Source organism: Homo sapiens, chromosome 7 (assembly GCF_000001405.40).
Source record: "Homo sapiens chromosome 7, GRCh38.p14 Primary Assembly".
Classification (NCBI taxonomy): Eukaryota; Metazoa; Chordata; class Mammalia; order Primates; family Hominidae; genus Homo; species Homo sapiens.
In genome coordinates this window covers 64971772-64986646 of record NC_000007.14, presented here as the reverse complement: position 1 = coordinate 64986646, position 14875 = coordinate 64971772, and the positions used below count along the sequence as shown (strand labels likewise).

Here is a 14875-nt window from a genome sequence, read left to right as displayed (position 1 = left end):
TCATATTTTGCCCACAAGAAAATTTCTAGTGAGCTGCAAGATCTTTACCCTAAGGTGTTTCTGTTAAAATTATACCATGGAAATATAAATTGATGGCTTATCTTTACACGTTCCACCAGACATAAATGCATATCTGATTGTTCCCCTGCCCCTTTTTGTCTATGTTATCTTATGTAAAAATGCAGATTACCTGCATTTTTTGTCTGTGCCATTTGTCTGCATCATCTTATGTTAAAAAAAATGCAGATTCACTGACAGACAATGACATGAATGACTGTTTTTCCCTACCTCCCTCTTACATAACAGTTTTGTACTTCTCAGTATCTCATTCTTTCTCCTTTAAATTTGGAGCCCCCAAAATTTTCTTGGGAGAAAGACATAGGCCTTTTTCCTAGCTGTGCATTCTTAACTTTGGGAAATAAATCTCCTAAAATGATTGAGACTTTTCTTGTCATTTTTCTTGATTGATACACCCATGGATTTTTTTTTTATAACACCTTTCTTTCTTCTGCTTTTTTCCCATAAACATTTCTCAAGTGCACATGGCATGCAAAATTAAGATGTCCAGTAGTTCAAAAACATGTCCAGAGACCTGGCTGTTATAGTGGAAAATACAAATTAGAAATAAGAAGCCTTATTCTCCACATGAAAAAAGGGAGGATATTTTCTTTCTTTCTTTTTTTTTTTTTTTTTTTTGAGATGGAGTCTCACCTGGTTGCCCAGGCTGGAGTGCAATGGCATGATCTGGCTCACTGCAACCTCCACCTCCTGGGTTCAAGTGTACTCAGCCTCCCGAGTAGCTGGGGTTACAGGCACACACCACCACACCTGGCTAATTTTTTGTATCTTCAGTAGAGATGAGGTTTCACCATGTTGGCTAGGCTGGCCTCAAACTCCTGACCTCATGATTCACCAGCCTCAGCCTCCCAAAGTGCTGGGATTACAGGTGTGAGCCACTGCACCCTGCCAGGAGTATATTTTCTTAATTTATTTTTCCTTAAAGCATTTAAATTTTATGTATATTTTTTCTCTGTTGTTTGAAAGATATGTAAATCATATTAACAGTTAAACCTTTTGTCACTGTTTTTGACTTGGGATTGTCTTTGTCTAGGACCTCAGGTTCATTGCTTTGGCAAAGATTTATTTTCTCCATTTGTTGTCTTTTAAGGTAGACACAGATTTGTTTAGATTAAAGTTTGTTTTAAGAGCACACAAAAGTTGAGCATGAAGATAGGATTAAATTTAGCAATAAAAAATGCTAAAGACTAAAAGATACTAAGTTCCTTTGATAGAATACAGATTATCCAAGGTAATCAGGTAATATTTGCAGGCCGAAGTACTTTTATTGCAAAAGCATGGTTCAGTGTATGAACTGAACAGTGGAGTCTGTAGTTGTGCTTTGGTTTATATTTATTACTTGAGTACAATTAGCATAGTTATATGTAGTGTTTGTAGACAAACTGCATTCATATAAACAGTATTTTATATACTAGTGTGAATATAACACTACAATATTTACTTTGAATCCCTTAGTCATTTTAATAATGTTATATTCGGCCGGGCGTGGTGGCTCATGCCTGTAATCCCTGCACTTTGGGATGCCAAGGTGGGTGGATCACCTGAGGTCAGGAGTTCAAGACCAGCCTTGCCGACATGGCAAAACTCCATCTCTACTAAAAAATACAAAAATTAGCCGGGCGTGGTGGCGCGTGCCTGTAATCCCAGCTACTCAGGAGGCTGAGGCATGTGAATCGCTTGAACCTGGGAGGCAGAGGTTGCAGTGGGCTGAGATTGCACCACTGCACTCCAGCCTGGGCAATAGAGCGAGACTGTTTCAAAACAAAAAAACAAACAAAAAATAATGTTATATTCATACTTTTGAAATATAAACTGTTTTAATTGAATTATGGTTGTAGACAATTTTTAAAAATCCTATGTACATTATGACTAGTACATTATTTATACTTAGATATTTATATCTAATATTCAAAGGAAATTTACTACCAAACTATTACAGTAATATTAGTATGACATGCTTACTAATTTATCCAGTAGAGTTAATTATAGGTAAGCATGATTTTAGTGTCTATCATTTCACTAAATTGGAATGGTGCTATTACGGGAAAAGTAAACAAGAATGATTTGGCCACCCAAAAACCATAATAGCTCTACAGTTCACCATGATGCAAACTCAAATGTATTCCACTATATGAATAAAGTAATATTCTAATTCTTCATCGGAAAGTTATGGTGGTGGGAGGTCCAGGCAGGCGGGTCACTTGAGGTCAGGAGTTCAAGACCAACCTGGCCAACATGGTGAAACCCTGTCTCTACTAAAAATACAAAAATTAGTTGGGCGTGATGGCACATGCCTGTAATCCCAGCTACTCTGGACGCTGAGGCATGAGAATCCCTTGAACCCTGGAGGTGGAGGCTGCAGTGAGCTGAGATTGTACCACTACACTCCAGCCTGGATGACAGAGCAAGACTCCGTCTCAAAAAAAAAAAGTGTTCTTTGGAAATTGTCAAATATATTCCATTATAGATCTCTCATTTAATGGCTAGGAGAAGAGAGAGCAGCAGAGATGGAAGAGAATCCTTATAAAATTCTGCTGAGAATATGACCCCTTTCTTCATAATGCTCACGTTTCTCATGCTGAGAGTAGCTGTGCAATTTGGGTGTTTAGAAAAATTGATTAGCAGAATATTTTCTGGCTGACTTGATCAAACTTATATCTAGCTTGTGTTTTTAAAAGATGCTTTTAACTGTTTTTCTCTCAATACAATTTTTCTCAGAGTGAGAGCTGTTTTTCTCTTGAATGCTTTTGGTTTCTGTTTTAGAGGCCCCATTACTATCCCATGGTGTCTGTGAATGAGGTGGGCTGTCACAGAGCTCTTAGAGCTATCTCTGTCTATCTCTGTGGGTGTGGTGGTAGCAGGTAAACAGGTGGTGCTGACACTTTTAAAAGCATATTCTCAGCATGCAGGTGTAATTTGTCCATAGAATCTCATCTTAAAAGGAATCCCAGAGAAACAGGAGAAAGAGGAAGACATGACCTTTTTTTAAGCTTAATATGTCTCAGATAGAGAGCTGTGTCCACTCTGCCTCCTGGAATGCCATGCATTTAGTTCTTGCAAACCTTTACTTCTCTAATTGTGTTGTTTCTCCCTAATGAGTTTGTTTCAACTACTTTTTAAAATTCTTATGATAGTCAAGGGTCTCTGAAAAATATTTTTTCCTACATACCAGAGGCTTCTCTACATCTCTACATCACGGCTCTTTATATGCCACGTAGAAATCTCATTATGAATTTATAATCTGCAACATGAAAAATGTTCCCTCTGTGGCTGTTGAACATGGGAAGGTGTGACTACTCAAGATTCCTATTGGGGAAAAGCTAGGGTCTTTAGTAAAGAAGGAGAACATGTAACGTTGAGGTACCATCTCTGTTCTCCATTAGCTCTATGCAGAACACGATTAATAAAATGCTTTTTCAAACAGAATGGCATTTATTACCCAGAAAGTTCTGAAACAAATTATTAGGAGATAGATACCTGCTCTTTAGGGTGCTGAAGAAAAACTACTTAAAATCACTATTAAAAATTACAGAACATATGAATTATCTGTATCTTGAAGTTTCCATAAAACTGATTTTTTATGGTTAAATTCAAACTCTAATTTACTTTTGAGATCAATATCGCAGCAGTGAAGCTGCATTTTTCTGTGTGCATCAGCACATTACAAAAATTTGTCCTAGTGCAGTTGATGTTAATGATTCAATTGGTTAAAGAGCTCTTGGACAGATTTCTTTACTATAATTATTTTTCTCTTCATTATTAAGTATCTTTATGCTGCTGATGTGCATGTAAACCATCACATTTAATCTGGCAGCTGCCTTTCTTTCTTAGGTTTTCTGTGCGTATATCTGCCTTAGGAAAATGAAAGCTGTCATCCCTTTTTACAGGCCAGAAAAACTGGGAAAAACACAGGCTCACCCACCTACTAGATGTTTGACAAAATACTCTTCTTGGGCCAAAAACATTGACATTATTGGTGAGCTTTTTAGAAATTTAGAATATCAGACTGTTCCAGATCTTCTGAAAAAATAATCTGCATTAACGAGATCTGAAGTTTATCATACACATTAAAACTTGCGAGGTACCTTTTAACTCAACATGTCTTTTTCATCTCAAAAATACACACAACTCATTCTGTATGATGCAGATATAGCATTTAAAAATAGACATGTTGGCGTTTATGCCCTAATTTATACTTTATTATCCAGAAAAGTACCATATATACACAGATGTTGTGGATCTTCTTATACCACTTTCTTTTCTCAGGGTTAGATAATACATTAGAAAATATTTCTGTGTTAAAAATTCTTTTATGGATAGTTTCATTCACTCCTATAAGTCAGAACCAGTTTTCTTTACTGTTTTATTTTACCTTGAAATTTAAAATTATGCCCATGGCCACTTGGTAAATGTATGTGATTTTGTGTATGTGTGTGTTTTTGTGTTTTTCAGGGACCATTGACATTTATGGATGTGGCCATAGAATTCTCTTTGGAGGAGTGGCAATGCCTGGACACTGCACAGCAGAATTTATATAGGCATGTGATGTGAGAGAACTACAGAAACCTGGTTTTCTTGGGTGAAGGTAACTTCAATACACATTTTCTAATATACCCTAAAGGTTTTAATTCTCTTTTTTGTAGAATGTTTTTGGTGATTTATGCTTTGCATAAATTGAGTTTCAGATCCCTGTTTTCAAAAAAATCTTTTAGATTTGTCATTGTAGAAAATAGTTTATTCAAGATGTTTCATCTTTACCATAACTTTCCACATTCCTGAGATGATCTTTATCATTCAGTCTTGATTAGTGGTAATTTTAGAAATTTATTGGCATAAAATATTGTTGCCCACACCTTAAAATCTAACTCCCAACAACAATTGTTTTGATTCAGTAGTACCAGGTAGTGAAATTAAGAAACTACAAATTTAAAATATTTTCTAAATCTTTAGAAATTTTTGTTATAAATTAGCATTTGGGGATTAATTTACTAGAATATTCTATTGCATTCTCTTTACTGAGCACATTACCAAGTTGGTAATTGGAGAATATGTGCAAGATTTATGTTATTTATTTTCAATAAAACAGGTATTGCTGTCTCTAAGCCAGACCTGATTACCTGTCTGGAGCAAGGAAAAGAGCCCTGGAATATGAAGAGACATGAGATGGTAGCTAAACATTTAGGTAAGTGAGAGTGAATACACAGATGGCACAGAGAAGAGGTCAAAGGCCAAGGAGAAGGCCACAGCTTAAAATGTGATTTGGTAAGCTGTGTTCCAAAGGAAATAGTTTCTGGAAAGCCCGAGTTTTTTTTTATTTTTCTCTCACATAGAACATATTTTGTATTGTTTTTCAATTCTCTAAGGATTCCTCTTTCCCTTTAGTGATCTGTCTTCAATTTCACAGTGAAAGCCAACATCCTCTTCATGGGATATAAAAGACTGCACAATCTGACTGGTTTTTTTTTGTTGTTGTTTTGGGGGACACACAAATATGCATAATTTTGAGAAACTCTATGTTAAACAGTTTTTTAAATTCTCTTTTTGCATCAAGTCTGAAATGTGTGAGTAGTGATTTCTGTTCCATTGGTTTTTTTGTTGTTGTTTATTTTTCTGTATATTCCATTCTGTTTTTACTACTATAGCTTTGAAATATAGTTACATATGTAAGGCATATGCAGTGCCAATATACCTTTTCAGGATTTGGCTATTTTGGATTGGCTTTTTCTTTTTATTTGGCAGGACAGATTTGCTGCTGGTATTATTCTCACTTGACAGCTATTTTCTTCAGGACTTGGACAATGTCACACAGTTAGTTCCCTTCTGGCCTGCAAATTTTCTTGAGAAATTCACTCATTACCTCATAAGACTATGCTTATAAATAACATATCACTTTTATCTTGCAACTCACAATATTCTCTTGTCTGTGACTTTTAAAATTGTGCTTATATATGTTCTTGTTGTAAATATCTTTGTGTGTATTCTAGTTTCTTTGTTAACCTTTTTAATTTTTACATCAGTTTTTCTTATAATTTTTCAGTTCCTTTTTTATATTTTTTACCTCCACAATATCTGTTTTTTGATATTTTTAATATTTTTGTTATCCCAATTTTTATGATTTTTAATAGTTGTCTGTGTTTCTATTTCATTCATGGAGTATTATTCAATTTATGTTAACTTTTTAAAATTAATTTTTTAATGGTTGCTTTCTGAAAATTTTATAATATCTGATAGAGCTATGTTGCCCTAAAATTTTGTATGCATTGTAATCTTTAATTGAAATTTGAACATTAAAAACAAGCTACCTGTCACAGTGTCTATAATGTAGCTTTGTCCTGGCAAAGTCTGAAACCATTTGTCTTAGCTAGAGATCCTGAGAGTCTTTCAAACATGTTCTTAGGATGTGTCTTGTCTGAAATGTTCTAGTTGTTTTTTAGTTAAAAGACTTTATTCATGTTTCTTCTTAATAGTCATCACTTGCCACAACTGTTCCCTGTCTGTAGTACAGTCTCTTTCCTGCTGTAACATTTACCTTTGATCTCAGCAGACTCAAAATGTCATTCCAAAGTATACCACTGTTAATTTCAGCACTTTATGTCATTGGAGACAGAAACCAGTGTCCGCCAAAGCACCTAATAAAGCCAGAAATAAAGATGTGGGTGTGTTATTTTTCTTGTCTGTTGAAAAAGAAAGCAAAAGTTGGTAATGTACTTCTAAAGACACTATGTTATACTGAGGAGCAGAAAGAGCTGTGTTGGGTAAATGTAACCAACTTTTCTCTTCCTTCCATGTGGCTTTTGGAATTGTGATAACCTGGAACACTGCACACACGTAACTCATTTATAAATTTTCTATAAATGCATTTTGGTCAATATGCTCTTGTTACATTTATATGTCTATGAAGGAATTAGAACCTGTGGTATTTTGCTATGCCATCTTGCTTATGTAGTTTCTGTAACTTTATGGGTTAGATTTGTAAAGTATATTCATCTGAGTCGAGCAAGTGAAGTAGTTTGTTACTTTTATTTCTTTCAGTTATGTTTTATTATTTTGCCCAACACCTTTGGCCAGAGCAGAACATAAGAGATTCTTTCCAGAAAGTGACCCTAAGAAGATATAGAAAATGTGGATATGAGAATTTACAGTTAAGAAAAGGCTGTAAAAGTGTGGTTGAGTGTAAACAGCACAAAGGAGATTATAGTGGACTTAACCAATGTTTGAAAACTACCTTGAGCAAAATATTTCAATGTAATAAATATGTAGAAGTTTTCCATAAAATTTCAAATTCAAATAGACACAAGATGAGACATACTGAAAATAAACATTTTAAATGTAAAGAATGTCGCAAAACATTTTGCATGCTTTCACACCTAACTCAACATAAAAGAATCCAAACTAGAGTGAATTTCTACAAATGTGAAGCATATGGAAGAGCCTTTAACTGGTCCTCAACCCTTAATAAACATAAGAGAATTCATACTGGAGAAAAACCTTACAAATGTAAAGAATGTGGCAAAGCCTTTAACCAGACCTCACACCTTATTAGACATAAGAGAATTCATACTGAAGAGAAACCCTACAAATGTGAAGAATGTGGCAAAGCCTTTAACCAGTCATCGACCCTTACTACACATAATATAATTCATACTGGGGAAATTCCCTACAAATGTGAGAAATGTGTTAGAGCTTTTAACCAAGCCTCAAAGCTTACTGAACATAAGTTAATTCATACCGGAGAGAAACGTTATGAATGTGAAGAATGCGGCAAAGCTTTTAACCGATCCTCAAAACTTACTGAACATAAGTACATTCATACTGGAGAGAAGCTGTACAAATGTGAAGAATGTGGTAAAGCCTTTAACCAGTCCTCAACCCTTACTACACATAAGAGAATTCATAGTGGAGAGAAGCCCTACAAATGTGAAGAATGTGGCAAAGCTTTTAAACAATTTTCAAATCTTACTGACCATAAAAAAATTCATACTGGAGAGAAACCCTACAAATGTGAGGAATGTGGCAAAGCTTTTAACCAACTCTCAAACCTTACTAGACATAAGGTAATTCATACTGGAGAGAAACCCTACAAATGTGGAGAATGTGGCAAAGCCTTTAACCAGTCCTCAGCCCTTAATACACATAAGATAATCCATACTGGAGAGAATCCCCACAAATGTAGAGAATCTGGCAAAGTTTTCCACCTATCCTCAAAACTTAGTACATGTAAGAAAATTCATACTGGAGAGAAACTCTACAAATGTGAAGAATGTGGCAAAGCCTTTAACCGATCTTCAACCCTTATTGGACATAAGAGAATTCATACTGGAGAGAAACCCTACAAATGTGAAGAATGTGGCAAAGCTTTTAACCAATCTTCAACACTTACTACACATAAGATAATTCATACTGAAGAGAAACAGTACAAATGTGATGAATGTGGCAAAGCTTCTACCTGATCCTCAAAACTCATTGAACACAAGAAAATTCATACTGGAGAGAAACCTTACAAGTGTGAAGAATGTGGCAAAACTTCTAACCATTTCTCAACCCTTACTAAACATAAGATGATTCATACTGGAGAGAAGTTACACAAATGTGATGAATGTGACAAAGCTTTTAACCAATCTTCAACCCTTTCTACACATAAAAGAATTCATACTGGAGAGAAACCCTACAAATGTGAAGAATGTGGCAGAGCTTTTAATTGATCATCAAACCTTATTAAACATAAGAAAATTCATATTGGAGAGAAACCCTACAAATGTGAAGAATGTGGAAAAGCTTTTAACCAGTTCTCAACTCTTACTACACATAAAATAATTCATACTGGAGAGAAACCATATAAATGTGAAGAATGTGGCAAAGCTTTCAACCTATACGTAAACCTTACTACACATAAGAAAATTCATACTGGAGAGAAACCCTACAAGTGTGAAGAATGTGGCAAAGCTTTTAGCCAAGTGTCAACTCTTACTATACATAAAAGAATTCATACTGGAGAGAAACCCTACAAGTGTGAAGAATGTGGCAAAGCTTTTAACCAAGTGTCAACTCTTACTATACATAAAAGAATTCATACTGGAGAGAAACCTTACAAATGTGAGGAATGTGGCAAAACTTTCAGTCGATGCTCAAAACTTACTACACATAAGAAAATTCATACAGGAGAGAAACCTTACAAATGTGAAAAATGTGCTAAAGCTTTTAGCCAGTCTTCAACCCTTTCTACATATAAGATAATTCACACTGGAGAGAAATGCTACAAATGTGAAGAATGTGGCAAAGTTTTTAACCGATCTTCAAACCTTACAGACCATAAAAAAATTCATACAGGAGAGAAATCCTACAAATGTGAAGAATGTGACAAGGCCTTTAACCTGTCCTCAACGCTTACTAAACATAAGGTAATTCATACTGGAGAGAAACTGTACAAATGTAAAGAATGTGGTAAAGCTTTTAAACAGTTCTCACACCTTGCTATACATAATATAATTCATACTGGAGAGAAACTCTACAAATGTGAAGAATGTGGCAAAGCTTTTAACTTATCCTCAAACCTTACTGCACATAAGAAAAATCGTACTGGAGAGAAACCCTACAAATGTGAAGAATGTGGCAAAGCTAACCTATCATCAACCCTTACTCCACATAAGACAATTCATATTTGAGAGAAACCCTGCAAATGTGAAGAATGTGGCAATGCTTGTAACTAAATCTCAAACTTTACTAAACATAAGAAAATTAATACTGGAAACTTTACAAACCTGAAAGATGTGACAATGATTTTGACAACACCTTCAAACTTTTCTAAACATAAAATAAATCATACTGGTGAGAAATCTTAAAAATATGAAGAATGGTACAAAGCCTTTAAATGGTTGTCACACTTGATTGTAGGTAAGATAATTTATACTGGAGGAAACTCCCAGAAGTGTGAAGAATGTGGCAAAACTTTTAATTTTTCACACCTTATAGCACAGGAAAGCACTTCAGAAAAATTGTACAAATATAAATGTGGAAAAGCCATTAATATCTGCTTACATCTTACTCAACATTAGAGAGTTAGTGCTTAATAAAAGCATTATAAAAGCAATTAGTGTAAAATCAGAAAATGAAAGTTTTTTTTTTTTTTTTAGATGGAGTCTTGCTCTGTCACCCAGGCTGGAGTGCAGTGGTGTGATCTTGGCTCACTGCAACCTCTGCCTCCCAGGTTCAAGCAATTCTCCTGCCTTAGCCTCCAGAGTAGCTGAGACTACAGGCACACACCACCACATTTGGCTAATTTTTTTATTTTTAGTAGAGACTGGCTATCACCATGTTGGCCAGGCTGATCTTGAACTCCTGACCTCAAGTGATCCACATGCCTCTGCCTCCCAAAGTGCTGGGATTATAGGTGTGAGTCACTGTGCCTGACAAATATAAGCCTTTAAAGAGAAGAAGGTTTTCATTTTGAAGACAAACATTAGGTACATAAAGAGGGTTGTAGTGTCTTTATTTGTATCACAGATTTTATTGTACACATTATGTACTAAAGGAAAATCCTGAAGCAGTGCTCAAACTTTGATCAACATCAGGGAGTTTATATTGGAGAAAAACTGCAAATGTAATATATTTGGAAAAACATTTTTCAAAAACTACTGCTTAGAAAACACCAGGGGATTTATACTAAAATATATTTTTGCAGATGCAGTAAGTATAAAAGAAATTTAATCCAAAATTAAGTGTGTGTAAATATCAGAGAATTCACAGTAGAAATATCTAAGGCACTGACATTTTAGACATTGAACTAATCAGTGTGCTGAGTACAGAAAATAATCCAAAATTAAAGTTGGTAGATAAATTATTTATATATAACTTTAAAAGAGGTAGAAATATTTTTAGTTATAATTACATTTAAAGTATACTTTTTTCTTTGAAAAAATTACAAAATTTTTAAAAAGTGAATGATGTAATTCAACTCAAATTACTTCATGCTTTTCATTCTATTGTATTCACATGTGAAAGCATGTGATCAATTGCTGCTTCATCAAAGATATGAGACATTCTTTTTTGTTAGGTGGGCAATATTTTTTACCTTTTCTATGGAAGAGTAAAGACATTACAATGTAGGATGCATGATAAAAATCTAAGTGGAGAGGCTCTTTGTGTTTAATTTATAATATTGAATGATGTATGAGGGAAGTGTTCAGAGGAATATTCTGCATTCTAGTGAAAATATCTTTTATTTTAGTTAAAATTAAATTAAAATTAGTAGTATATCATTTTACTAACTGTACTTTTATGTAATAAAATGCAGCACATTTAAAAAATTTTAGATTATTGTGAACTTAATTTTTTAATTAAACTTTTTTTTTAACATGTTAAGACCAATTGTGCATTCAGTGAAGTATTATCATGCCACTAACTTCAACCTATCCCACCTTACTCAAGGGTGTTGGTAAAAGATAGTAACAATGTACTATTTAATAACAGAGTGGACTAACATCTCTAATAATTTCTCTTGCCAGTGACTTTAAACTAAAGAACTTAATTAAAGAACATTGTTCCCATAGGTTAAATTTTTATTCTTTTTCTTATTTAAACATATTTTTCTTAACTTTTGTGGGTACATAGTGTGTGTATATATTTATGCCATATATGGCATATTTTGATACAGGCATATGAATAGGTATTAATCACATCAGGGCAAATGAAATATCCATCAACTCCAGCATTTATCATTTGTATTACAAACCGATTCTACACTTTTAGTTACTTTAAAATGTACAAGTAAATTGCTATTGACTATAGGGTCATTTTCATGGGTATAATAAAAATTATATACAAGTATAAATAAAATCCTGAGTCTTAAAATTCTGAGTCCTGCTTAAACATTTTAAAAATTTTGTTATGTATTTTTCTTTGAACATGTCTCTCTGCCTGCAAACATAACAGAATTTTAGTATTGGTTTACATAGAGTTAACTATACCCATATATTACTCTAAAAATAAATGTTAAGTGCAAGAAAGTTATGGACTGTTTTTGTGTGAGTGTGAGTTTGTACCTATTTTCAAAAGAAAAGAGCAATATTGGAGCAAAACAAATATTTTAATAAAGTAATGTACTAGACAACTGAAAACTTCAAAAATGCTGAAAGTAAATGTATACTCTGCTTTGTATTGAATTCATTACTGCCAAATCTTCTGACTTATGATTCAGAATCTCTCCATGCAAATTATGTTTTTACTTGCCTGTTAGTCATGCTAGACCTATAATTTTCTTGTTTCTTACCATTTTTTTCTTTTATACTTTATGAGGTATTATGTGAGCTGTTCATGGATTATAAGAATGATTTTTATAAAATTCAGTACTGCACACAAGATAAGTTTTAGATGTATTTCCAAAATTGTGTATTAATTATATTTAGTTAGAACATTCCATTTGTTCTTTTAATTGGAGAATCCTATATAAGCCTATATTTCTTATTCTTTTCTCTTGTTATAATTGACATAAGTAAATTTATTTATTTATTGAGCCAATTTGTTCAGGTAAGAACTAGGAATGCTTCATAAGTCATGAGGATGTTTTTATATATATATGTGGCAAACAAATATGACAGTGCTTGCTGTGTAACAGATGTTCCATAATAACCTGTAAACATTCCTGCTGGAGTTAGTTTGTAACTTCAAGTCAGAGATGGAAAATACCAATAGTGAAGAAATAACATTGATTCTTCATGTGCAGATAACATTTTTTTTCCATGCTGCAAAGCTAAATTTTGCTGAATTTAAAAAGAAATTTTGGTTCTTTTATTTCCTAATTACCTTTAGTTTTGTTTGTCTTATTATGTGACTTCTGTGTATTCATCACAGCCCTTCTCCTTCTTTTTCTATGTGATGGCTACACTTTGCTCACTGTTGTCTTCATGCCATGTCATTTTATACAGTACTTTGTAGGTTTTGATGAGAAAGTTGGTATTTTTAATGCACTCAAAAATTGCTTTTTATTGGAGAGTACTTATCAATATAACTTTCTGATCAGTTAATTAAGATAAAAGGCATACATTGTCCACAGGTGAGAGGATTAAATCAGTTAGCATTATTTTTTTCTGTTTGTAAAAGGAAAAACTTATTAAATTTTTAAACGGAGTTATTAAACAGAGTTTCACTCTTATTGCCCAGGCTGGAGTGCAAATATATTGTGGCAAATATAAAATTTGCTAGAAAATACATCTTAGAAATTAAGTTATAAGAGAGCAAATGGTAAGTGAAGAATTTTAAATTTAATTTTCTATGATATAGCATAACATACATTTCCATGCAGAATCTTTTATTTTTAAATGTGAAATTTAAAGGTTGCAAAATAATAAAATGACTTCTGTGGATTTGATATTTGGAATGATATTTCTTTTTTATATTGATATTACAATTCCGAGGAATTTTTCACTCATTATTTTTTTAGTGGGTGAAGGTGAGTGTACAGTTATTGCTTTTTGTCACCTAACTATAGTCAGCTTCTTGGTCATTTTCTCTAGAAAACTTTTGAAGATTATGGCAGCTTTTTGATTAAACATTTTCTGTTATTTTTATGCAAATTCATTTATTGTGTTCACAGGGTGGCCAGTCATGAGACCATAAGCAACAGCTGCCCTTTTAGTGTCTTTCATGCCATTACCATCTGTAATAAATAAATGTGTACTTTATTCTGCAAAACATGATGTTTGGAAGTATATGTTGTCAAATGCTTAATTCTAGGTAATTAAGGCTTTACCTCACATCGTTAACATTTTTGTGGTCAGAGTATGTGACATTGTCAATGTTTTTCAAAAACACAACTACATTATTATGATCTGTAGTCACTATGCTGTACAAAAAGATCTCTTAAACTTATTCCTCCTATTAAACTATAATTATGTATTCTTTGACCAACATCTTCCAAAACCCCCCTTTTTTCTAAATACCTTGGTGTCTGGTGGTCACCACTTTACTCTCTACTTTAATGGGATTAAGTTTCTTAGAATCCCTGTGTAAGTAAAATCATGAAAAATAATCTTTGTGTCTGGCTCATGTAGACAAATATGATGTCCTCCAGGTTAATTCATGTGATTGAAAATAATAGAAATTTCTTTTTTAAAGACGAAGAGTATTCCATTGTGTATATGTACCACATTGTCTTTATTTACTCATAAATGTTGAACTGTTGATTGTGTATTTTGGTAATTGTGAAGAGTGTTGCAAACAACATAGAAGCATAAATGTTTCTTCATTCTGATTTCACTTGTTTTGGATATATACAGTAAAATTGCTGTATTGTGGTTTAATTTTAAATTTTTTGACAAATTTTTGTTTTTCATAGTGACTCTCCTCATTCACATTCAAACCAACAGTGTGCAAGCATTCCTTTTCTTCATACTTTGACTAACACTTTCTTTTCTTTTTAGTAAGAGTAATTCTAACAGGAGTGAGTTGATAATCTCCTGGTTTTTCTTTTTGCTTTCCTGATTATAGTTGATATTGAGCATTTTTTATATATCTTGACCATTTGTCTTTTCTTGAAAAATATTTAAGCCTTTTGCTCATTTTTAATAGTTATTTGTCTTCTGTTGTATAGTCATTTAAGTTGTTTATATGTTTCTGTTATTAACCCTTTGTCCCACGTATGATTTGCAAATATTTTCTCCCATTTTTTTCAGTTGTCTCATTTTGTTGATTGTATCAGATTCCATGAAGCAGCTTTTTAATTTCAAGTAATCTAACGTATCTATTTTTCTTTTGATTTCCTTGGATTTTGAGGTTAAATAATAAAAGTCACAGCCTAGATCAA

At 33.2% G+C, this 14875-nt stretch overlaps 2 protein-coding genes and 1 pseudogene across 2 annotated transcripts in view; all 3 read left to right on the top strand.

Annotated features, from left to right (window-relative positions):
* The window catches only part of ERV3-1-ZNF117 (ERV3-1-ZNF117 readthrough), a 34971-nt gene extending 20100 nt beyond the window's left edge, over positions 1-14871 (top strand). The window contains exons 2-4 of the mRNA NM_001348050.2: positions 4531-4663; positions 5165-5260; positions 7111-14871. Of these exons, the coding sequence (NP_001334979.1) occupies positions 5227-5260; positions 7111-8528 (1452 nt within the window). The 5' untranslated portion in view covers positions 4531-4663; positions 5165-5226 and the 3' untranslated portion in view covers positions 8529-14871. The remainder of the gene's footprint in view (positions 1-4530; positions 4664-5164; positions 5261-7110) is intronic.
* Positions 1-14875, top strand: part of ZNF117 (zinc finger protein 117) — a 19265-nt gene extending 4390 nt beyond the window's left edge. Inside the window, exons 2-4 of the mRNA NM_015852.5 lie at positions 4531-4663; positions 5165-5260; positions 7111-14875. Coding sequence (NP_056936.2) covers positions 5227-5260; positions 7111-8528 — 1452 coding nt within the window. The 5' untranslated portion in view covers positions 4531-4663; positions 5165-5226 and the 3' untranslated portion in view covers positions 8529-14875. The remainder of the gene's footprint in view (positions 1-4530; positions 4664-5164; positions 5261-7110) is intronic.
* VN1R43P (vomeronasal 1 receptor 43 pseudogene) lies at positions 13423-13730 on the top strand (annotated as a pseudogene).